At 41.0% G+C, this 26,400-nt stretch overlaps 1 long non-coding RNA gene across 1 annotated transcript in view, besides 1 other annotated feature; it reads left to right on the forward strand.

Moving 5' to 3' along the window:
- Positions 1-26,400, forward strand: part of LOC107987087 (uncharacterized) — a 288,244-nt gene that overhangs the window by 189,026 nt on the left and 72,818 nt on the right. The window lies entirely within an intron of this gene.
- Positions 14,777-14,982: a silencer, noted in NCBI's record as "fragment chr9:85310669-85310874 (GRCh37/hg19 assembly coordinates)". NCBI's record gives its function as "represses an EF-1alpha promoter that drives an FKBP-Casp9 reporter gene in an ReSE screen in HepG2 liver carcinoma cells {active_cell/tissue: HepG2}" and the evidence as "EXISTENCE:reporter gene assay evidence [ECO:0000049][PMID:32094911]".

Consider the following 26,400-nt stretch of genomic DNA (forward strand, 5'->3'; position numbering starts at 1 on the left):
TCAACTTCAAAGCTTCAAAACTGGAGAATGATACCACAAAACTACTTAAATAACCTCAACCCAATATACTTTCTCCTGTTATAAAACTTCTTCAGCCTCTATGCATATCTGGTGTACTTTCATATAATTTTATATTGTACAATATGGAGCTATTGTCTCCAGCTGTTTCACTGTGTATGTTTAGTTTCTCCCTAAAAGGGCAAATTCCCTAAGGTCACGCCTGGGGCCTCTTCTTGATTTGTCTTCCTTTTCCCTCCTCCCACATCTACTTGCATATCTATCTTATCCATCTATCTATATCTACATGTATATTTGTATCTACATCTAGAACTACGGCTATATCCATCTTCCTTTTAGAATGTAAATTCCATGAAATCACAAGTCTTGCCTTGTAGGTCCAATTAGAAATAAAGTTTTGAACACGTCTGAGACATATCAATGTCTGTTGAATTACCTTAAAAGATGTAATTGTTGCTGCCTTCTTTCATTGTGCTTTACCAACATGATTATTCCCTGTTTCCTTCTTTTCATCCTCTTTCCAATCCCTGCTCTCTGGCCCTTGTCTAGACTCCCCTAAAGAGCATTTATCTAGTCCAATGGGTAGAAAACAGAAGCTAAGAGCTTATGACAAATAGTGTGCAGTTTTTATTTTTGGCTGTCCACATCTATTCCTCCAAATTTTGTTAACAGCAACAAAGAACCATCTTAGCATCTGTATGGAGGTGAGACTCACCCAGACTTGACCGATGAGCATATTCCTTTGCCTCAAGGATCTTTTTCAGGACTGAGGATACAACCCTGATTAGAATCAGGGTTTGGGATTTTTGCCGGGACTTTGGGAAAAACTGGCTTTTGTATTGCTGAGGTTGCTAGCTGGAGAATATGAGAGTAGGCTAGAGTTTCTGGGAGCTCTCATGTGGAGACAGCCTGCCTGATAATAACAGAAACACAGAGAAGAACAGGGCAATGTGCTGGCCAGAGATGCAGGCAGGTATGGAGAGTCAGGGCAACATTGCTGAACAGGGCCATGTGATGCATGTTCTTTTTTATCCAAATATTGACTGTGGACAAGGCTCAACTGTGGCAGTCATAGCAGACTGAGTTTAAAAATCAAAGTGGCAGGGGTAGTTTTCTCTGCAGGAAATATGCTGCCCTGGTGTTCCCCACACACATGGCCAGGTAACCTCTTGCTTCCCTTTATTGATATCACTCAGAGACTTTCCTAAATGCCATCCCATTCTCTTTTTATACACTGCACTCATGTTACTATGCTGTCTGCAATAGACTTGTGTTCCCCTATAGTCTGTGAGCTCCTTGAGAGCCAAGGTCAGATTTTCCGTGTCTTGTACCCCCTATAACTAACACCATACCCGGAGGTGTTCAATGCTCAATACACAAGGGCTGCATGAGGAAGTGAATGCATATAGTAGATTAGAGAGTTCAACTCAAGGTTTCTTGACCTGCAAATCCAAGGCACATGTCTCCAATAAAACTTAGAGCTACTAAGACAAAAATGCTTCTTGCTTTCTTGACATTGCTCATGCAGGGGAGAGCCTAATATGAACTGAAGTTGTTGGCCCTACTCCCTCTCCACTCAGATGGCAGCCTCTGGCCAATTTGTGAGAAGACTTGCCGCTGCGAGGTAGACAGCAGCTTTCAAGCTGCTGCCAGCTGGGCCATTTCTCCCCAGGTGTCTAAGAGGCTGGGAGAGATGGGGCATGATATTGAGCCAGGCCCACTGCTCTGCTTATTGGAGGATACTGAAGGCAGCTCCAATGCCCCACTGCACCCTGTGGGAGGCAGAAGGAGAGCATTTTTGTCCCCAAAGGGAGAGGACAAAGGGATGAGGGAAACAGAAAGCAAAGAAGTCTTTTGTTTTTATTTTATTTTTAGCATCTACCCCCAAGGAAACTGGCAGCAGCCATCCATCTGCAAGTATATGGAACCACTGGTTGGAAATGCAGGCTGCGGCACCAGTACCTGGCTTCTTTCTTTTTGTTTTCTTCTTTTTTTCCTCATGTAATAATGTTTCCCTCCAATTCCTAGAAAAAGAAGTTGATAAAATAACTGTTTTCATTTGAGAAATATTTTGACAAAAACCATCAAAAGGCCAGTTTCCCCCAGTAACCAATTTCTATTACAAAGTAAGATTTCCACAAGGTTTTTCTTCCCAAGGGGTGAGGCTGACCTTACATTACTTCACAGAAACCCAATTGACTCCTGTGAAGTCACCATATTATCTCGTATCTTCTTTTTACCTAGGCTACCTTTCATCTTTCAACTTATGTTGAAATTGCATCCAAAGTATATATAACCTGTTGCAAACAGGATTGTGGTCATGAAACAAATGTTGTACCTAAAAGTAAATGCCAGTGAACACAATTCAGACAAGTGGATGCAAGTTTCTTTCCTTTCAGCAAAGATTTTGATGAATAAGACCTCTTCTTAGGTAAATATCACTCACTTTCCCCGTGTCAACTTCTCAGCTGTACTAGGCTTACTCCCTTTTACTGCCTGCCTTGAGGGAAAAGTCTAATAAAAGTTTATATGTAGCAAATCAAAATGGAAAAAGTTCATAGGATATGGAGAAAGCCCAACTCCACAGCACTAAAGAAAGAGGTAACACTTGTGCAAATACAGTGCGTGATTGGCTCCTCTGATCCAGCTCTTGAGGAAGAGAAGATAAATAGGATTCCTATCAGGTGTGCCCAATTGTTAAAGATCTAGCATCTCATTCTATTCTCTGGAAAGTATGCTTACAAAATACAAGCTAATCTCCAAGGGGTACTTGCACGCACTTCATGAATATTAACAATTTTCTAATCACTACTATGATGTTCATATAATGGCTTCCATTAACAAAACAACGAATTTTGCAACAGTGCCCTACAATTGTTTGATGCCTCTTGGTATTTCCATCTCATGACAGTAATGAAAAAGGATTGCATATATTACTTGATATTTTGAGGTAATTATATTCAGTTGCTATAATACACAGAGTTGGCTTTAATGGAAATTCCATTAATAGTGATAACAATTTGTATCATTTGATCTCAGAAAAAAGAATGCTGCTTTATATGTCTATGTTAATGCAAAATTTGCAAAGTGGCATTGACATTTGCTAAGATGTGCATTTCAGAGACATGTGGAATTAAGCTAGGTGAGACCCTGAAACAAATGGCCAGTTTAGATAATACACTCAAGTCTCACAACTTGAGTGGAAAACAAATGGAAGGTGTTGCTATTGCTGATCATGTGTATCTTCCTTTCCTTCCCCTACAGAAAATATTCCTCAAATGGGTAAGTCGTAGCATTGGCTAAAATTTATACTTCACAATCCAACCAATACAAATATCAATGGTAAACTGTACATTTATCTCATTTTTGCCATTTTTTAATTTTTAACTTTCCATGTTATTGATGATAATAATAACAAGTTTTAGGCACTTATGTAGCAAAATATTAATACTCATGACACATGATTAAGTAGGTATCATCATATCAATATAATGAATGAGGGTATAGAAAAAAAAGGATTAGAAAGAAGGCACAGACAGAGATATATTGTCTGATTCACACCAGCCTGCAAGAGTGAATTTTGTATATCCCTCTCAACTTTGCGTTCAGTGAAATCACATTGGTAGTTTGAAACAGGCCACTGTGAAAGTATTTACAGCATAAAAATTGTCAAGTCCTTTAAATCAGCACATCCCCTGTATTATTCCACTCTCGTACTGCTATGAAGAACTGCCTGAGACTGGGTAATTTATAGAGCAAAGAGGTTTAATTGACTCACAGTTCTGCATGGCTGGGGAGGCCTCAGGAAACTTACAATCATGGCAGAAGGGGAAGAAAACATGTCCTTCATCCCATGGTGGCGGGAGAGAGAAGTTCAGAGCAAAGTGGGGAAAAGCCCCTTATAAACCCATCAGAACTCATGAGGACTCACTATCACAAAAACAGCATGGGGGAACCACCCCCCATAATCTATTCACCTCCCACGAGGTCCCTCCCATGACACGTGGGGATTACGGGAACTAGAATTCAAGATGAGATTTGGGTGGGGGCAGAGCAATACCATATCATTCTATCCCTGGCTCCTCCCAAATCTCATGGCCTCACATTTCTAGAATCTTCTGATCCGTAGTCAGATGCGTTATCCATTGCGCCACTGGCCCCGAGTTGGCCTCACATTTCTAAACACAATCATGCCTTCCCAACAGTCCCCCAGAGTCTTAACTCATTCCAACATTAACTTAAAAGTCCATGTCCAAAGTCACATCTGAGACAAGGCAAGTCCCTTCTGCCTATGAACCTGTAAAATCAAAAGCATATTAGTTACTTCCTAGATAAAATGGGGGTGCAGGCATTGGGTAAGTACACCTGTTCCAAATGGGAGAAACTGGCCAAAACAAAGGGGCTACAGGCTCCATGCGTGTCGAAATCCAATAGGCCAGTCATTAAACCTTAAAGTTCCAAAATGATCTTTGACTCCATGTCTCATAGCCAGGTCATGCTGAAGCAAGAGGTGGGCCCCCATGGCCTTGAGCAAGTCTGCCCCTCTGGTTTTGCAGGGTGTAGTGCCCCTCCCAGCTGCTTTCACAGGTTGGCATTGTCTGTGGCTTTTCCAGGCATATGGTGCAAGCTGTCAGTGGATCTACCATTCTGGGGTCTAGAGGAGGAGGACAGTGACCCTCTTCTCACAGCTCCACTAGGCAGTGCCCCAGTGGGGACTTTGTCAGGGCTTCAATCCCACATTTCCATTCCACACTGCGCTAGCAGAGGCACTCCGTGAGGGTTCCACCCGTGAAGCAAACTTCCACCTGGATATCCATGTGTTTCCATACAGCCTCTGAAATCTAGGCAGAGGTTTACCAACCTCAGTTCTTGACTTCTGTGCACCCACAGGCCCAACACCATGTGGAAGCTGCCACAGCTTGGGGCTTGCACCCTTTGAAGCAATGGCTCAAGCTATATCTTGGCCCCTTTTAGCCATAGCCAGACTTGAAGCAGCTGAGATGCAGGGCACCATGTCTCAAGGCTGCATAGAGCAGAGGGACCCTGGGCCTGGCCCACAAAGTCATTTTTCCCTCCTGGGCTTCTGGGCCTGTGACGGGAGGGTCTGCTCTGAAGTTCTCTGGCATGCCCTGGAGACATTTTCACCATTGTCTTGGTGATTAACATTTGACTCTTTGTTACTTAAGCAAATTTCTGTAGCCAACCGAAATTTCTCCCCAGAAAATGGGTTTCTCTTTTCTACCACATCATCAAGCTGTAAATTTTCCAAACTTCTGTGCTCTGCTTCCTCTTGAAAGCTTTGCTGCTTAGAAATTTCTTCTGCCAAGTACCCTCAATCATCTGTCTCAAGTTCAAAGTTCCACAGATCCCTAGAGCAGGGGCACAATGCCACCAGTCTGTTTGCTAAAGCAAAGTGAGAGTGACCTTTGCTCCAGTTCCTAAGAAGTTCCTCATCTCCATCTGAGACCACCTCAGCCTGGACTTCATAGTCCATATCACTATCAGCATTTGGTCAAAGCCATTCAACAAGTCTCTAGGAAGTTCCAAACTTTCCCATTTTCCTGTCTTCTTCTGAAACCTCCAAACTGTTCCAACATCTGCCTGTTATCCAGTTCCAAAGTTGCTTCCACATTTTCAGGTATCTTTACAGCAGCACCCACTACTCCCAGTACCAATTTACTGTATTAGTCCATTCTCATGTTACTATGAAGAAATACCCAAGACTGTGAAATTTATAGAGAAAAGAGGTTTAATTGACTCACAGTGCTGCATGGCTGGGGAGGCCTCAGGAAACGTATAATTATGGTGGAAAGGGAAGCAAGCATATCCTTTTGCACATGGTGGCAGGAGAGAGAAGTGCAGAGCGAAGTGGGGAAAAGCCCCTTATAAACCTATCAGGTCCCATGAGAACTCACTCACTATCCCAAGAACAGCATGGGGGAACCACCTCCACAATCTATTCACCTCCCAAGAGGTCCCTTCCACAACATTTGGATATTACGAGAACTAGAATTCAAGATGAGATTTGGGTGGGGGCACAGCCAAACCATATCATACTCCCTACCCCCAAAAGCTGATTGTTAAACATTTATCAGTGTACCACTGCTGACAAAACTAGTGAGTGGCTGAATTGAGATTTAAACTCCATTCTGTCTGACCCCAAGATGGGTGAAAACCACTGGCCAAAAAGCCAGTTGGTTTTTTTCTACTTCTGGCTTTATTATGGAGTTTTATGTCCTTAGGCATATCCCTCCATGTATCTGCCGTGCATTTCATCATCTACATCATGAAGCTCTTAAATCTCTAAATAATGAATAAAAGCTCAAAAATTTAAAGGTGCATTATCAATGTATTATTATTATTTGGTAAGAGCAAGAGTTTTGAGCTTTGATGATTACCCCTTTCCCCATGTTCATTTAGAATTGAAAAGAGAGCATCTCTCTTTCCCATCTTTCCTTCTCTAATCCTCCTTCTCATGGTCCCTTTGGTAAGATTCTCCCAGAGACAGACTGAGACAAGGATTGACATGCAATTGATTTATTAGGAAAGTACTACCCAGAAATCATGGGAAGCAGGATAAGAATGAGGAAGAAGCCAAGAAAGGATGTGATTTCAGGAGAATCCCAAAGGAGCTCAGGAGCATACATAACATCACAGAGTTTGTCTTGTCTAGCCTCAAATCGAGGAAGTTGGACTTTTGTGCTCCCCACTACACAGCCATCAGCTATAGGGGAAGAGGGTTAACAAACTCCCAGGCACTACTTTGCTTTCTCTGCTGATAAAGGTGGGCTCCAGTGCCCACCTCTGAAAGTCACAGGTGTCAGCCATTGGCAGCAAAGCCTTGAGAAGAGGAGATATGGGTGCACAGAGCTAGAAAAAAACAATGGGCCAATAGAGCCCACTGTACTTCCACAAATTATGTTTAACTGAAGACCCTGCTTCATCCAGGCTGGCCAACAGTATATGTCTCTTCTCAGAAAACCTGATTTGCCTATTCTCCTCTGGTCTAATGAGAATATATTAGGAAACTAGACTTCTCTGGAAATGTAGAAAGGAAGAAAATAGTTTTTCAGGATAGAGGCACCCAATTCTATTTCGGGGAGAGAGAGAGGAGGCAAGTGGGGGATACCATAGCCTGTGCTCTGTATAGCCTGTGCTCTGTGCTGAACTGGCCCCAAAGGAAGAGGAAGATTATCTTGCTGGGGAGACACCAGACGTTACCCCTCCTCAGTGAGCCTATAAATATGGACCTTTCTCTGTTATGGCATGTCACATTAGGTGGTAATTTCCTTTACCCACTCTTTCCACAGCCCAAGTGTGAAAGAAAAGTACATGGCCAGTATAAGATAGGCCATGTACATGAATATGAGATGTTTATACCACTCTTGGTTTGTTCAGTAGATTGTGCCAGGTTTCCGGATGAGTATTGAGGCCAAGTATAATGCAACACTATCTATATAATCACATAAATCACTGGTGCCATGGGAAACCATGACACATTGAGAAATTTCTTTATAATTCAGCATTATTTCCATGAAATCTTAATGTGCTGCAGAACTCTAAATGTTTCCCCTTCTGCAAAATGTCCACATATAATGTAGGAATTATTACCTCATTATGTCTACTGGGAAATGGAGGCATCAATTAAGTGACAGGTCCATTAGTAGTCACTATATCACCTCTTGCTTTAAAATAATACCTCGTTGCATGGAGACAAGGGTTGGTTACAAGCAGCTTGAAATGTTACTTTGTGTCGTATCCAAAGAACCACACCCCACACACCACTCACCAGGTTTTGAGTTTTGCGGTTTTTATCTCCTATATCATGCAGGCCTATATTTTTTAAAAATCATTTTTCTATTTGCTCCTTATATTTTAAAATGTATCCTAGTTATCTTAAGGAACAGGTGGCCGGGGGCAGTTGCTTACGCCTGTAAACCCAGCACTTTGGGAGGCCGAGGCAGGTGGATCACCTGAGGTCGGGAGTTCAAGACCAGCCTGACCAACATGGAGAAACCCCATCTCTACTAAAAAGACAAAATTAGCTGGGCATGGTGGTGCATGCCTGTAGTCCTAGCTACACGGGAGGCTGAGGCAGGACAATCACTTGAACCCGGGAGGCAGAGGTTGCAGTGAGTCGAGATCGCACCATTGCACTCCAGCCTGCGCAACAAGAGTGAAACTCTGTCTCAAAAAAAAAAAAAGGGGGGGGGGGAACAGGAAATCCTAGTGTGAAATAGTTTATAGCAGTTTTAATAACCATTACTCATAAAATCCCAACTGGCTTTGATGGGTAACTGGTCATCATTAGAGAGTTGCATTTATCAGACAAATAATTTTGCTTAATTAGGTGACTAACTGGCAGGGCCTTTCTTACTGGAAAACCATTAAAATCGTCAAGAAAATTCTCAGGAAGATCTTGATTGGACCATTTTGTCATTGTTTTACCGGGTATCATTAAATTCCCACTTGCAAACCCTAGAAGTTAATTCAAGTTCCAAGACCTTATACAAAGGTATAACCAGCTAGCCAATGTAAACTGAGGGAGACTTGACTAAAAGGAATAGAGCAAATCTATATCCCAGGCATTGTTTTACATAGGGGAATTCCATGTTTTTAGTGTAATGCTTCTTTAAATATGGTCAGCTCCTCATTTCCGTAAGTCTCAATCTTACGACAAGTATGGTCTAATAACATAAGAATTCCCATCTAATAAATGTACTCCAAGTCATCCCTAGATAGAGAAGAGGCCTCAGAGATTATAACTGAATTTTTAATTGAAAGAATACCCACTGTTCTTTCATGCAGAAACTAATAAGCTACAATTCAGTAGTATGTTCATGTTTTCATGTTATATTAAAAGCAAAAAGAATGTAGCATCCTTAGTCTCAAAGTTTTAAAAAATGAATGAGTCATCCAAAATATTTACAAGGGGATTAGCCCTAGAGTAAATGAGCAAGGTAAATGATTGGTTTAGTGAAAAATGCTAGGGCAGAAATCTGGAATGCAATATCTTACTCCACAAATACTAGGGGTCCTGACATTTTAACAGGCAGTTCAAGCCTTTCTCTTCTGGTAATGTCCTTTTACCTTATGCCTGGATAGGAAGCTGAATTCCAGTCTCTGAATTCAAATATTACCCAAGAATTCTGTGGAGGCTGCCCATAGTTCATAGGTCTAACAACTCTATCAGGGAGGAAGAAACAGTAATAATTGGCTCCCATGAGCCTCTACTTGCAAGAGTCAAGGAATGGGAGATAAACTGATCGAGCTGCGTGGCCAGGCAACCAGATTTGGGAACACAATTTGGCAGAAAACAACCAAAGAAAAAAGAAAGAGAGTCAGCCTCAGAGACTTCCTAACACATGGCTATGAGTATGTGTGCACACACACAATACGGCATGGAAAAATTTCAGGTAGAGAACTTTCAACACACTAATGCTTGCTTACAATGAAGAAAGATGTTATAACTCACACTTTAGACAGAGTTTTTCTTAAGGCCTGCAGCCTGCTGAAGTCACAAACCCTGCTGGCCTGTCCTCATATCACACTATTTTACACAAGCTACCTTGTCTTCTACATAGATGAATTTTTCTAATGTTGTTATTTCCCTCACCAGCCCCTCCTCTAATAAATAAATGAAGTTGACTAGAATCTTGCAGTGTCAAATTCTAAAGCTTATCTTTATGTGCAAAAGCAACATGATCCTGGAAGAATGGGAGATTTTCAAGGATTTTACCAAATCATAATAACCTGATTTATTTTTCAATGGCAGGTAGATTAACAAGATACGCTTTGGCACATCATAATCTTATTTAAAAAAAGAAATCGTGAAACTTATGGATCTCGATCCAAAATACTCTCTGTGTCTTATTAGTTATATGTTGACAGATCCAAAGAGAATGGGCTAAGAGTCCTAGTCTCTCATTCAAACTTCCACCAACTTATTGTGTATTTGGGCACATTGGAAGTATTCTGATCTTCAGGTTTCTTAATTTATAAAATGTGGGGATTGGAATACAAAGGAGTTCATTCTGCTGCAACTTCTATTTTTTATTGGCCATAGTTTGTAATAGATTGAAAAGTCCCCTATAGTTGGAGGTGATTTTGTTTAAGTATAAACTTAAAAAGATAAATTTGGTAGGCATGTTAAATACCAACCACAGAAGAATGGGGTTACGAAGTGTGATTCAGATAAATAATCATCATAAGGGCCAACTACTGAGCACTTCCCATCATGGGCTTCCATGAGCTTTATTGTATAATAGAGCAATGGACTATCATTTAAAAAGCATACTGACTTCACCACTGTGCTTTCTCAGATGGGTGGCTTCATTCATATCATGAGGTGGTTAATCTATCTATTGTGGCTCTCCTCTTTGAGACACTGGTAAAGGAAAGGACACGAGAAGGTTGACATTTCAGTCTCTTCCAGGGCCACAAAAGTGAGACTAGTTTAGAAGTATTAGTGGATTGTTAGGTAAGTATTTTTTATATTTGCCTTTTTCTTAACTGATACATAATATGTGTACGTATTTATGGAGTACATTTGAAATTTTGTTACATGCATAGAATATACAATGATAAAGTCGGAGTATTTGAGGTATATGTCACTGAGTGTGTATTTATGTATTTATTTAAATTTGTTTGTTTTTTTAGAGGCACAGTCTCACTCGGTCACCCAGGCTGCAGTGCAGTAGTGTGATCAGAGCTCACTGTGACCTCAGACTCCTAGGCTCAAATGATCCTCCTGCCTTTGCCTCCTGAGTAGCTAGGACTACAGGTACACAACGCACCTTGCTTATTTAAAAAAAAAAAAAAATTTGTAGAGACAGGGCTCACTCTGCTGCCCAGACTGTTCTTGAACTCCTGGCCTCAAACAATCCCCCCACTTCGGCCACACAAAGCACTGGGATTTTAAGCATGAGCCACCATGCCTGGCCAAGTACTTACCATTTCTATGTGTTGGAAACACTTCAAGTCCTCTTCTAGCTATTTTGAAAATATAATACATTGTTACCCTACATTGCTATGAAATGTTAGATAATATTCCTTCTATTTAGCTATATGTTTGTATCCATTAACCAACCTCATTTCATCCTCCTCATTCCCACATCCTTCCCAGCCTCTGGTATCTGCCATTCTACTCTCTTACCTCTATGAGATCAACTTTCTTAGCTCCCATATATGAGTGAAAATGTGATATTTGTCTTTCTGTGCCTGGCTTATTTCATTTAATATAATGACCACTAGGTCTATCCATGTTGCTGAAAATGACATGATTTCATTCTATTTTTAATGGCTGAATAGTACTCTTTTGTATATATATATACCACATTTTCTTTATCCATTTGTTCATCAGTGAACACTTAGGTTGATTCTGTATCTTGGCTATTGTGAATAGTGCTGCAATGAACATGGGGATTTGGGTATCTTTTTAAATGCTAATTTATTTTCCTGTGGATAAATGCCCCATAGTGGGATTGCTGGGTCATATGATAATTCTATTTTTAGGTTTCTGAGAAATCTCCATACTGTTTTCCACAGTGGCTAGTTAACATTCCCATCAACAGTGTATAAGAGTTCCCTTTTCTCTGCATACTCTCCAGCATCTGTTATTTTTTGTCTTTTTAATAATAGCCCTCTAGGCTATTATTTTTGATGACAGACTGATTTTGTCTGTCATCAAAAATATAACTTTTTGTTTCTTTTATCCTTTGTAATTTTTTTTAGTTTCTATTTAGTTCTATTGTACCCTTCATTATTTTTTTCTACTAATTTGGGGTTTTGTTTGTTCTTGCTTTTCTAGTTCTTTGAGGCCTATTATTATATTGTTTATTTGAAATCTTTCTACTTTTTTCATAATCTGTGATTTTGTTTTTAATTATCTTGTCTCATGATCACACATAATTTTTAAATTTGTGTATATCTCTTCTACGTTAATCCTTTCAAGTTGGCTAAAGCACCATTCCCAGTCGCAAATACACAGCACTTCTACAGTTTTGTTTCTGAATGGCTGTTTAAAGACAATCCTAAATTATATCTCAGTCTGACTTAGAGAGTAAATAATTCAAGAATGAAGTTTAACTTGCTACTGTTTAAAAGCGTCTGACCTCATCTATAAAATGTGAGAAGTGCTAAATAATCTTTATGAAATCTTTCTACTTTTTTGATGTGGGTGTTAATTACTATACAATTCCCTCTTAGCACTGCTTTTGAATCATCTCATAGGTTTTGGTATGTTTTATTTGATTTTTTTGGGTCATTTCAACAATGTTAATTCTTCTAATCGATAAGTATGCCATGTCTTTCCATTTGTTTGTATCCTCTCCAGTTTCTTTTATTAGCTTTGTAGCTTTCCTTTCAATGGTCTTTCACCCCCTTGATTGAATTTTTCCTAGGTCTTTTATTTTGATAGCTATTATAATTGAGATTTTTTTAAAATTACTTTCTCAACTAGTTTGTTATTGGGGTATGAAAACACTATTGATTTTTATATTTTGCATTCTGCAACTTTACTAAGTTTATTTATTAGTTCTAAGAGCTTTTTGTCAGAGTATAGGTTTCTCTAGAGGTAAAATCATGTGATCTGCAAAGAGGAACAATTTTACTTCTTCTTTTCCAAATTGGATGCCTTTTATGTCTTTCTCTTGCCTGATTGCTCTAGCTAGGACTTCCACTACTATATTGAATAGGAATGGTGAAAGTGCACATCCTTGTCTTGTTCCATCTCTTAGAGGTAATTATTTTAGATCTACTCCATTCAGTCTGAAGTTAGCTGTGGGTTTGTCATATATGGCTTATATTATGTTGAGGCATGTTCCTTCTATGACTATTTTGTTGTGTTTTCCTCATGAAGAGGTGTTGAATTTTATCAAATGCTTTTTCTGCATATATTGAGATGGCCTTTCCCCTTTATTCTGTTGAACTGATATATCACATTCATTGATTTGGATATGTTGAACTATCCTTGCATCCCTGAAATAAACCCCACTTGATTATGGTGTAGGAACCCTCTTAGTGTTTCTTGTATGGTTGGTCTAGTAGTGATTAATACCCTCAGCTTTTACTTGTCTGGGAAAAACTTTATTTCTCTTTTATTTATAAGGGATAACTCTGCTAGGTATGGTATCCTTACCTGGCACGTTTTTTCTTGTAGCTCTTTGAATGTGTCATTTCATGCTCCCTGGCCTGTAAGGTTTCTGCTGAGAAATCCTTTTCGTTTAATGAGAGTTCCTTTATAAGTAACTAGGCACTTTTCTCTTGCTTTTTGAAGAATGTGTTGTTTGTCTTTGACTTTTGATAGTTTAGAGAAGACCTTTTGGAATTGTATCATTTGGGGATCCCTGAGCCTCTTGTATCTGGAAGTCTACATTCTTTATTAGAGTTCTAATATTTTCTTTTATTATTTTGTTAAATAGGTTTTCTATTCCTTTGTTTTATTTTTCTCTTTGCCTTCTGGATCAGCAAAAATTTTAATATTTGATTCTGAAATTCTATTTTCTGCTAGATCTAGTTTACTGCTGAAGCTTTTGAATGATTTTGTATTTCATTCAATTAACTCTTCAGTTCTGAAATTTCTGTTTGGTTCCTCTTTTAAAATAAGATCTATTATCTCTTTGGTAAATTTCTCATTCTTATTCTGAATTGTTTTTATAATTTCTTTGTATTGTTTATCTGAATTCTCTTGTATCTCACTAAGCTTCAGTATTATTAGTTTGAATTCTTTTTCCAAGATTTCATAAATTTCCTTTTCACTGGAGTCTGCTGCTGGAGAATTACTGTGTTCCTTTGGATGTGTCATATTTCCTTGTTGTTTTTTTTTTATGTTTTCCATGCCTTTACATTGGTATCTGCCCATGTGGTGTAACAGCTTTTTAGAATTTGCTTTCATAGGAGAGAACTTCTTCTTGAAGATGTGTCTATGGTGTGGATTGGGTAGCACACTTTGGCTTTGCTTCTGGGTGTGTTTCTGAATTATTTATTTGACAATAAACAGCACCAATAGTTTTTGTGATATCCTCAGTGGCTCAGAGTGTGGTGGAGGCTGTGGTGAAGTTTTGTGGGGACAAAGACATCAGGTGGGCCAGTCCTCAATATCCAGTGGTGGCAGTGGTGAGTCAAGCATTCCTGTCTTTGGACCTTAGGGTGGTATACACTGGTCTTAGTGTTAATGAGTCCAGGCAGGTCAATTTTTGGGCCTCCAGGCAGCTTGTTTCAGTGCTGGCTGTGGCAGCAATGGGCCAGTTAGGTGGGCAGATTCTCAGGCCCAGGGCAGTGAATGCCATGTGGATGATGGCAGTAGCATTGGTGTGACAATTTTCTGGCTCCCAAGTGGTTTGCACTGATGGTGACTATGACAAGTTAAGCAGGCCAGACCCCAGGCCTGCAGGCAGTGCATGTAGGTGGCCAGACCCCAGGCCTGCAGGCAGTGCATGTAGGTGAATGCCAGCTGTGGTGGTAGTGACAGCTTGTGTGGGCCTGACCTCATGCTTCCCAAGAGGAGTGTTCAGATGCCAATGGTGGTGGATGGGACAGGGCAACTACCAGGTCCCTGGATGGTGTACTTGGGCACCTGGGGGTGGGTGAAGCCAGGCCAGGTGGGCATGTCCTCAGGCCCCCCCAGTGGTGCGTGAGGGCATTGGCTGTGGTAGGTAGAGGCAAGGTGAGCCTCAAGCCCCTAGCAGAATGCTCAGGTAGGGGTGTCAGCAGCTACACTAACTACATAGCCCTGCTGCTAGGTAGGGTGGAGTTGCTTTCAGTAGCAGCAGCTATAAACAAGAAGCTGGGGAGTCCACCCTTTAGCCTCAAGTGACAGCTGCAATCACAGTTGTCTTTTTTCAGTGTGCTTGTAAACGCATGGTTGCCTTGCCACTAGGGGTAGTGAGGCCACTGCCAACGGTTCATACTTCGACCCTGGTGGCAGCATCCAGCAGTGGCACCTGACTGCAGGTAGGGATGTCAATGGGGTACCAGGAATGTGGAAATGAATAAGCTGTTGGACCACATGGCAGGATGCAGTCTAGTGGGGACTGGGCTCTCAAAATGGCACCTTGCTGCAGCTGCTTAGGATTCAGGGAGGGTATAGAGCCTAGGGCAAATTCTCTCTCAGGAGTAGTGCTGTCATGCAGTCTCCAGGAAGCTCTATACAAGTCTCAGGGCCCACATAGGTTGAGGAGCTCTTCCATGGTAGGATTACAGGAGCCCTCACTGGGAATATGGACCACTGGAAGTCCCTCACGTACCCTTTCCCCACACTGGGAAGACTCTCCAGGATTCCAGCTGATCCCAGCTGAATAGGCTGTCTTGTTTCTTTCTCCTTCATTGCCCTAGGTGTATTTCCTGTCACTTTTCTATTGAATTCCAGCATTCTCTTTTACGGGATCTATTAAAAGTATGATTATCTACTCATTATTTTGGTTCATCGTCGTGGAGGAGGTGAGTACCAGATGCCTCTAGTCAGCCATTCTGAAGGCTTTCAAACCTGTTAGGTAAATTTTTGATAGGCCTTTAGTCTAATGGAGAGAAACAGAATAAGCTAAGCTAAGGTGTTTTCCCAGAGGAATCAAGCTTGAGGGCTCAGATAACTTAAGTGAGAGGGTGACGTAAGGGATCATATAAAGCTCGAGTTTACAAAGCTACCCAGATATGTAAAACCCCCTCATCTTCTCAACTGTTTAATGGAGTTTGCTACATATAAATGTCTTGTGCGAGCACAAGGGCTCACATTCTGCAAGTCAGAATGGAGTCAGTATAGAGGGCAGACACCAGACATGAGAAATAACTAGAATTCAACAGACAGTGAATTCCAGACACAGAATTGATGTATATCATAGCACCCCATGGAATTCACAAGATTCCTGAGGAAGCCTTTGACTTTCACATACAACAAGGAATTGAAAAATAGCCATTGTGTAAATCTAAAAGTACAAGAAGTCTTCAAACAACCTCAAGATATTTTATTCCCAAATCCTACAGCAATCCTGTAAAGTCCATATCATAATTCCCATTTTATATCTTTCTATTACACAATGGTTCAAATAAGAGGCTAACACTGTGGTTTAGGAAGGAAAGCAAAGAGCATTTGGAACTTTTAATTCTTTTTCATGATATCAACCAAAAATCCACAGTCTTGGCATCTAGGATTATCATTTTGGGAGATAGGTGACATGATCATGGTGCCCACCATTGATTTCTCAAGTTGAAGGACATTAATAGAAGCAGATAAGATGCTCTGTCTTTACCTAAGTGGGAGCTAGGGAGCTGGATTTCAAATTACCATTTTTTATGCTGTTTTTCACTCCTATGACCTTTTTTTTTTCTGACTTCTTTTTTTTTAAATTATACTTTAAGTTCTAAAAAAAAAAATCACTCCTATGACTTTGTGACCTGAGAAGCACAATTCTACTTGTGGTTGCAGTGTGCAGAGTATTGGTGGTATATCTTTTGATCATACCAGGGCTCCCACAAACATCTGGAGAGCGGAGTTTTGTGGTTGATTATAAAACAAAAACAATATTCCAAAAAATAACTTTCAGGCCAGGAGCAGTGGCTCACGTCTGTAATCCTATCACTTTAGGAAGCTGAGGTGGGAGCTCTGCTTGAGGCCAGGAGTTTGAGACCAGCCTGGGCAACATAGCAAGACCTCTGTCCCCACAAAAAAATGTTAAAATTTAGCCAGGCTTGGTGGCTGACACCTGTAGTCCCATCTACTCAGGAGGTTGAGTTGAGAGTATTGCTTGTGTATTGAAGTTGAGGCTGCAATGAACTACGATCGCACTGCTGTACTCCAGCCTGGGCAACAGAGTGAGACCCTGTCTCTTGAAAAAAAAAATTAAAAAAAAATCACAAAAAGTTCTTCTCCAAATTTTTTAGGATTTTGTTTACTTACTCTGCTCTTACACCAAATAAAAAATAAGCGATTTTGTCCTTTCATAGGATTCATGAAATTCTCCCTCCAACAGTGTCAGTACTAAATGTCACCCTGATAACTTTAAATTTATTGTATTTCATATGGAGAATGAAAGCAAACCTTCAAATTAGTTCCTTACAGTGGTTCTGCATAGTGTCAATTCTAACATTGAGGTGTGTGTTTATTAAACTCCTTACCATATACAAGGATAAAACTGCTCAGAAAAGGAAAAAATTTGTGTCGATCCACCCACATTTTTGCTTTTTCCCCTTCTGACTACTTGGTCAGAATTCAGGATGAATTCTGTGTCCTTGGGATGAAATAAAACTAAACAACACATTATGAACTCAAAGCTGCCATTTAGCATTAATGATTTTTACCCACTCAGTTATCTGCTTTCTAAGACCTAAGAACATCTGATGAAGCAGAGTTGATGAATAAAAACTACATACTCTCGTGAAAAGAAATATGCGAAATGAAGCCAGTTTCATTTATCTTAGACTCCTAGGGTGATAGATGAAATTAAGAGGTTTTTCTAACCATAAAAATATTAGAAGCTCACCACAGAAAATTTGAGAAGTTTTTAATAATTTAAAACCACCTATTATACAATAACATTTGACATGTTTTTCTATGTGTTAAATCGTATCTGAGGTCACGATTTATGAGCAGTTGAATATACTGTTTTTTAACATATAATTTAAGAGTCGCATTATGGTGGTTGCCAGGGGCTACAGGCTTGGGGAAATGGGGAGAGGTTGATCAAATGCTACAAAGTTTTAGATATGTAGGATGAATAAGTTCTGGAGATCTAATTATAGCAAGCAAACTATAGTTAATAATACTGTATTGCATACTTAGATTTACTAAGAGAGTAGATCTTAAAAGTTCTCATCACAAAAAACTGAAAATGATAACTATGTGAGGTGAAGGATATGTTAATTAGCTTGATTGTGGTAATCATTTCACCTTGTATACATATGCCAAAACATCATGCTGTATGTCATAAACACATAAAATTTTTATTTGTCAATTAGTAAATCCAGAAAGAATAATTTTTAAAAATGGAGTCATGTTAGAAGCTCTCCATAAAGATAATTTTAAGTGACAAAATCAATTCTTTATTGTGAAGGTAAACCATGATTTATGAATGGCCTACATAGAATATTTAAGCAATTTTAATTATTTTTTGCTAAGTAATACTGTGATAATGTGGGTGATATTTAATAGTGTCAATTGTGAAATCTGGTGTTTCTTTTAACGTAATGATAAAAATTACTTAATGTAGTTATATTGCACTTTTCACAGAAATATTGGGGGAGAAAAGCAGACAGAAATGGCACTGCTTTCGAGGCGTGGCAATCAAATCTTTTGAATATGTATGTCTGCACTTTGCATTTGACCCTCGTTGGAGCAAATAAAACAAAAACCGTGTCTCTTGTGCTATAAACAATAAAGGTGACCCAGAGGTGAGAAGAAGATCCAGTTCTGAAAACACACTGCTACTACTGGCCTCTGAGCTCATAAATAGTCTCTTTTTCTGCTGTGTTCTTCTAACTTTTACTGTTTCCAACTGTATTCTAGTATAGTTATTACAGCTATTGCCCAGATTTTTGTATTTCTTTTGGCCTGCCCAGTTCTTGTTGAAAGATCATCCATCGCACTTTGATTTTTTTGAGAAGACACTTCAAGCAACTTCCTACTTTGGCAGCTATGGAAGTTGGTAGTTGATTTTATTTTTCTTATACGCTACAAAATCGTTTCTTATGTTTCATTTTTCCTTTGTCTCTTTGTTTTTTTTCCATGCAACTCTCCGGTTGAGGGTTCATTTCCCATCCAAACCTCCCGTGTTGTTTCAATGCTCCATTTTCTTCTTTTCAGATCCTTTTATCAATATTTTAATGGATTCACTATGAAAGAAGGCCTTTGCATTGCTGCTGACTCCATCAGAATCTCAGAAGTCTTCCTGGATCAGAAGGGGACCCAATTAGAACCTGGAAGGCCCGCTACTCATAGGCAGGAGGCCAGAAGACTTGCCCTAGTGCCGAAATGTTGTTCTGTTAATGTGTATCTCATGCCCAGTATTTCTTATTAATAAGGCACTAAATAAGGGACAATCCAGCGTTTCCATTGCCAAAAGAACACATCTCCCTTTTAATTAATCAATGTAAATGGCCTTTTACTGGAAAATAGAAGTAAAGTATTCCTAGAACATAGGATATAATGTTACATTGGGGAATATCATGCCCTCTTTTTATTTTAAAGTGGAGATTTTTTTTTTTAATGTAGAGACACTAGGTCTGGACCACCTGAGAGAGAGTTCATTCACAAATTATTGCTGAACATTTGCTACTTGGGTAAACTCAGGACTTTTGTTTCCCAGTTCATTTTTGCTACAACTCATTTGCATTCAATCCAGTGGGAGTTCAGATCAGGAAAATTATCTGGATGGAGCAATTTATAAAATAAAAAATAACTTATATTCAAAATCCACTTCTTCCCATTTCTATGTATCTTTCCCTCAAGGACCAGTGCAATTAATGTTCAGCCAGGGACTGACATAAATATTGATCAGAACAGAAGCACCACAAGATTACTGCTTGACTTGGCTTCACTTCAACTTACTTCTCCTTAGTGTCTTTGCTGATGCAAAGGTTAACTCTTCTTTCATTTGTCAGTTTCTTTTTGCTTCAGTTTTTCTCTGAAGACAACCTAGCTTAAAATTCATCCAATTGGATTGATCCAAAGCCACCTAATTTTCCCTCCAATGTCACATAATCTATTATTTAATGTAGACATTTATATACTATTATACACTATGTAAACCAAAGGACACGACTTAATTAAGGAAAATCAGGAGAAGCTGGTATTTCAAAATGTCAGCATTTGTCTCCTTTTTCCCCCTAAACTCATAGTAGCAACCCTAAGAGTGAAAGGAGCCAGAATAAAGAAGTCAGCAGATATGAAAGCAAAGGAATTCTTCAAGAATGGGATCTCCAGAAATGTAAATCAGATTGCCATCAGATTTTTTTTAAAATCAGAATCAGTATACACTAAAAAGTGATTCTATGCCTCAAATTTTGGAGGTAAAAATAATTTAGAACCTAAAATTCTAAACCTGGCCAATTTTTAAATTGATTGTGAGGGCAAAATGAAGTTCTTTTCAGAAAGACAACATCTTAAAATGTTGCTGCTCTGGAACCCTTTTTGAAGAAGATACTTAGAGTTGTTGAACTCCAGGAAAATAAATATGAGCACCAAAAATAAGAAATGAGACCAAGAAGCAAATGAGATAACCCACAAGCCCCATGAAGAGAAATCCCAAGAAAGTGGGCTGAAAGTTGAAACAGACAAAATCACCAGAGGGATAATTTGCTGAACAACTGAGAATTTCTTTGAAGCTTTTAATGTGCTCCATCCACTGACTCTTTACTTGACTGGGTGTGATTTCCCTTAAATACAATTCACTGGGGTGTTTTTGCTGACTTACATTCTTCCCCTCTGATGCCTTGGTCTGAAATGGGCAGGACATAAGTTCACACAAATAGAAAGGCCAGTAAATAGTGTTAATGAAAAAGCCCATTTATTTATTCATTTATAAAATGTTAAGAGTGAAAGCAAGGGCAAGATGGGCAAGACAAGAACAAATATTAATTTCATGTGTGTCCGTGTGAAGAGACCACCAAACAGGCTTTGTGTGAGCAATAAAGCTGTTTATTTCACCTGGGTGCAGGTGGGCTGAGTCCGAAAAGAGAGTCAGCATAGGGAGATAAGGGTGGGGCCGTTTTATAGGATTTGGGAAGGTAATGGAAAATTACAGTCAAAGGGGGTTGTTCTCTGGTGGGCAGGGGTGGATCTCACAAAGTACATTCTCAAGGATGGGGAGAATTACAAAGAAACTTCTTAAGGGTGGGGGAGATTACAAAGTACATTGATCAGTTAGGGTAGGGCAGGAACAAATCACAATGGTGGAATGTCATCAGTTAAGGCTGTTTTTACTTCTTTTGCGGATCTTCAGTTACTTTAGGCCATCTGGATGTATACGTGCAAGTCACAGGGGATGCGAAGGCCTGGCCTGGGCTCAGAGGCCTGACATTCCTGCCTTCTTATATTAGTAAGACAAATAAAACAAAATAGTGTTGAAGTGTTGGGGTGGCGAAAATTTTTTGGGGGTGGTATGGAGAGAGAGTGGGCGATGTTTCTCAGGGCTGCTTCAAGCGGGAACCTAGAGGGGGACAGATTAAGCTGAAGGGAGGTCTTGTGGTGAGGGGTGATATTGTGGGGATGTTAGAAGAAACATTTGTAGTATAGAATAATTGGTGATGGCCTGGATACGGTTTTGGATGAATTGAGCGAGCTTGATGTGTAGGGAAGGGAGGGGGCCTGAATAATCCCTGAGGAGTAGTAGAATAGCAGATGGAACACTGAGAAGTTATTTCCTTGAGGATAGATTTCCATGATGGAAAGGAAATGAGAGGTTCTAAGAGGCGGGCTAGTGGCTTGTGCTATAGCATAGGCTGCCTTTGCTGGTGTGTGGCGATTAGGCCTGGTGGGCCTGCCATCAATAAATCAAGCGTGATCAGGGTGAGGAACAGGAAAGAAGGAAATATGGGGAAATGGGGTGAATGTCAGATGGATCAGAGAGATACAGTCATGGGGGTCAGGTGTGGTATCAGGAATAATGTGGGAGGCCAGATTGAAGTCCAGGCCAGGAACAATGGTAATTGTGGGACTTAACAAAGAGTGAGTACAGCTGAAGGAGCCGGGGAGCAGAAAGTGTATGCATCAGGTATAAGGGAGAAAATAGATTTCGGAAGTTATAAGAAATGTAGAGAGTGAGTTGAGCATAGTTTGTGATTTTTAGGGCCTCTAAAAGTATTAAAGCAGCGGCAGCCGCTGCACGCAGACATGAGGGCTAGGCTAAAACAGTAAGGTCAAATTGTTTGGACAGAAAGGCTACAGGGTGTGGTCCTGGCTGTTGTGTAAGAATTCTGACCATGCTAACCATGCCTAGGAAGGAAAGGAGTTGTTGTTTTGTAAGGGATTGAGGTTTGAGAGATTAATCGGACACGATCAGCAGGGAGAGCACGTGTGTTTTTATGAGAATTATGCCAAGATAGGTAACAGATGAGGATGAAATTTGGGCTTGACTGAAGTAATGGGGGCTGTCTGTGAAGCCTTGCGGCAGTACAGCCCAGGTAATTTGCTGAGCCTAATGGGTGTCAGGGTCAGTCTAAGTGAAGGCAAAGAGAGGCTGGGATCAAGGTTGCAAAGGAATAGTAAAGAAAGCATGTTTGAGATCCAGAACAGAATAATGGGTAGTAGAGGGAGGTACTGAAGATAGGAGAGTATATGGGTTTGGCACCACGGGGTGGATAGGCAAAACAATTTGGTAGATAAGGCGCAGATTCTGAACTAACTTGTAAGCCTTGTCTGGTTTTAGGACAGGTAAAATGGGGGAATGGTAAGGAGAGTTTATAGGTTTTAGAAGCCCATGCTGTAGCAGGCGAGTGATAACAGGCTTTAATCCTTTTAAAGCATGCTGTGGGATGGGATATTGGCATTGAGCGGGGTAAGGGTGATTAGATTTTAACGGGATGGTAATGGGCATGTGATCGGTTGCCAGGGAAGGAGTAGAGATGTCCCATACTTGTGGGTTAAGGTGGGGAGATATGAGAGGAAGACACGAAGGAGGCTTTGGGCTGGGGAGAAGGGTGGCAATGAGATGCAGCTGTAGTCCAGGAATAGTCAGGGAAGCAGATAATTTGGTTAAAACATCTCGGCCTAATAAGGGAACTGGGCAGGTGGGGATAACTACAAAAGAGTGCATAAAAGAGTGTTCTCCAAGTTGGCACCAGAGTTGGGGAGTTTTCAGGGGTTTTGAAGCCTGGCCGTCAATACCCACAACAGTTATGGAGGCAAGGGAAACAGGCCCCTGAAAAGAAGGTAATGTGGAGTCGTAGCTTCCATATTGATTAAGAAGGGGACGGACTTACCTTCCACTGTGAGAGTTACCCAAAGCTCGGCGTCCGTGATGGTCTACTGGGCTTCCGAGGCGATTGGGCAGCATCAGTCTTCAGCCGCTAAGCCGAGAAGGAGTCAGTCAGAGGAGCCTTGGGCCAGAGTTCCAGGGGCTCCGGGAGTGGCTGCCAGGTGAGTTGAACAGTCCGATTTCCAGTGGGGTCCCGCACAAATGGGACATGGCTTAGGAGGAATCCTGGGCTGCAGGCATTCCTTGGCCTGGTGGTCAGATTTCTGGCACTTGTAGCAAGCTCCTAGGGGAGGAGGTTCTGGAGGAACGCCTGGCCGCTGCGGTTCAGGCGTTTGGAAGTTCTTGTGTGCTGGAGATGTAGCTGGGGTTTGTCTCACAGTGGAGGCAAGGAATTGCAACTTTTTTCTATTATTGTACACCTTGAAGGCGAGGTTAATTAAATCCTGTTGTGGGGTTTGAGGGCCGGAATTTAATTTTTGGAGTTTTATTTAATGTCGGGAGCAGATTGGGTAATAAAATGTATATTGAGAATAAGACGGCCTTTTGACCTTTTAGGGTCTAGGGCTGTAAAGCGTCTCAGGGTTGCTGCCGAACGAGCCATGAACTGGGCTGGGTTTTTATATTTGATGAAAAAGAGCCTAAAGTCTTCTGATTTGGGATAAAGAAAAAGGAGCATTAAACTTGACTATGCCTTTGGCTCCAGCCACCTTTTTAAGAGTAAATTGCTGGGCGGGTTGGGGAGGGCTAGTCACAGAACGAAACTGTAAGCCGGACCAGGTGTGAGGAGGGGAGGCGATAAAAAGATTACAGGGTGGAGGAGCAGAGGCTGAGGAAGAATTGGGACCTAGCTCGGCCTGGCGAGGAGGGGAGAGGTCAGATGGGTCTGTAGAAAAGGAAGATTAGAAAGACTCAGCGACGCTTGGGGTTGGGACTAAGGGGACAGGCGGGAGGGAAAGAAGGAAGATTTGGGACGAGTTGCACTGGGCACAGAGACTAGGAAGGGACTGATGTGTAAAAGAATGCCTGGACGTCAGGCACCTCAGACCATTTGCCCCTTTTACGACAAGAATTATTTAGATCTTGTAGGATGGAAAAATTCAAAGTGCCATTTTCTGGCTATTTGGAACTACTGTCGAGTTTGTACTGGGGCCAAGCGGTGTTGCAGAAGAAAATAAGGCGTTTAGGTTTTAGATCAGGTGTAAGTTGAAGAGGTTTTAAGTTCTTGAGCCCACAGGCTAAGGGAGAAGAAGGAGGAATGGAGGGTGGAAGGTTGCCCATAGTGAAGGAAGCAAACCCAGAGAAGAGAGCGTAGAGACACGGAGGGAAGGGGTTTGGGGGTTCTTGCCCCCTAGAAAAGCGGGACTTGCCGCTAAGGGTGAAGGAGAAGGGGTTGAGGGGTACTTGCCCCTGCCCCAGGAAAGTGGGACTTCCCGCTAAGGGTGAAGGGGAAGGGGCTGAGGGGTACTTGCCCCTGCCCCAGGAAAGTGGGACTTGCCGCTAAGGGTGAAGGACCAAGGCAGGCGTCCCTGCGTGGTCTGACACCCTTGAAACATGGCTGTATAATCAGAGAGGTGTCCCTGCAATGATTAAACACCAAGGGAAAGCTGCCTTCCCAGTCCATGACCAGCGCCGGAGTTTTGGGTCCACGGATAAAACGTGTCTCTTTTGTCTCTACCAGAAAATGAAAGGAATTGAAATTAAAAGAAGGGAGAGATTGAAGTGCATCGCCAAGATTGAAAGGAGAAAGAGGTTGAGGGATAGTGAGGGAAGTTGGAGAAGGGAGTAAAAAGAGGCCGCTTACCGGATTTGAAATCGGTGAGATGTTTCTTGGGCTGGTCGGTCTGAGGACCTGAGGTCGTAGGTGGATCTTTCTCACGGAGCAAAGAGCAGGAGGACAGGGGATTGATCTCCCAAGGGAGGTCCCCTGATCCGAGTCACGGCACCAAATTTCATGTGCATCCATGTGAAGAGACCACCAAACAGGCTTTGTGTGAGCAATAAAGCTGTTTATTTCACCTGGGTGCAGGTGGGCTGAGTCCGAAAAGAGAGTCAGCATAGGGAGATAAGGGTGGGGCGGTTTTATAGGATTTGGGAAGGTAATGGAAAATTACAGTCAAAGGGGGTTGTTCTCTGGTGGGCAGGGGTGGATCTCACAAAGTACATTCTCAAGGGTGGGGAGAATTACAAAGAAACTTCTTAAGGGTGGGGGAGATTACAAAGTACATTGATCAGTTAGGGTGGGGCAGGAACAAATCACAATGGTGGAATGTCATCAGTTAAGGCTGTTTTTACTTCTTTTGTGGATCTTCAGTTACTTTAGGCCATCTGGATGTATACATGCAAGTCACAGAGATGCGAAGGCCTGGCCTGGGCTCAGAGGCCTGACAATTAAGCCTTCAGAAAAGGAACAAAATTCCCTGAATATTGGCTATTCAATAATTTGAATATTTGGCAAGTTGACCAGGGCATTAGATCAGTAAGTCAGTAGGCTGCAACTAAAATATCTTCAGGAAGAAGAAAAGGATTTTACAAAAATACAAAATAAACCAGAAATTGCATTATTAGGAATAAGATGGGAAAAGTCTATGTTTTATCTCATGAGTGGAAAGGCAAAGCAATCAGAAACTCCAGGGGAGGAAAATTCTGTAGAAGTAAACTATGAATCTGATGATTATGAAGCTAAAATTCAGCATGGTTTTAACCATCTGAACGGTTTTTCTTTAAAAACGAAAATCCATTTGATCTTCACATAAGGAATAGTCTTGATTGAGTGGCATAAAGTGAGGAATGGGGCAGCACTGGGACCATCAGGGAAGGAAATTATATCATAGCACACAGTTGAAAATGCAGAAAGCGGGGGAGTGAGCTTCAAGTATGATCAGGACATGACTCCACGTTTCTGTAATTCCTGCTGCTTTTCCTTCTTCTGCCAGCTGAGCTTTAAGGCTGGCTTCCTTCTCAACTCAAAGATGGCTGCCTGTAGCAATGTAGCCTCATGTTCCTTGTTCCTAATTGGGAGAGAGAGCGAGTTGCTTCCCACAAGCAGTGAGCTTAATGTACATTGAATCATTCCTGAATCAGTCCTCATGACCAGGGTGCTATGTCCTGATTGGCTTACGGATGGATGATGTGAGAAAAAGAATGTTACTTGGGTGAGGGCAATTCTACCCAAGCCACGGGCTGCTATGCAACGAGGGAGGTTTATGGAGAGGCAAACACAACATGCAACATGTCCTACTAATTTCATGGCTTTTTAAAACTTTGTGAAGAAATTTGCCCTCCTTTCAATTTACCTTCAGGGTTTAGAACTGCACTATGCAATACAATAGCCACTAACCATGCATGTCTATTCATATGTAAATTTTAATTAATTACAATAAAACTTTGGTTTCCCAGTTGCATTAGCCACATTTCAAGTGCTCAATAGCAATGCATGGTTAGTGGCTACCATATAGGACAACACAGATTATATAAATGT

This window comes from Homo sapiens, chromosome 9 (assembly GCF_000001405.40).
Source record: "Homo sapiens chromosome 9, GRCh38.p14 Primary Assembly".
NCBI classification, from domain to species: domain Eukaryota; kingdom Metazoa; phylum Chordata; class Mammalia; order Primates; family Hominidae; genus Homo; species Homo sapiens.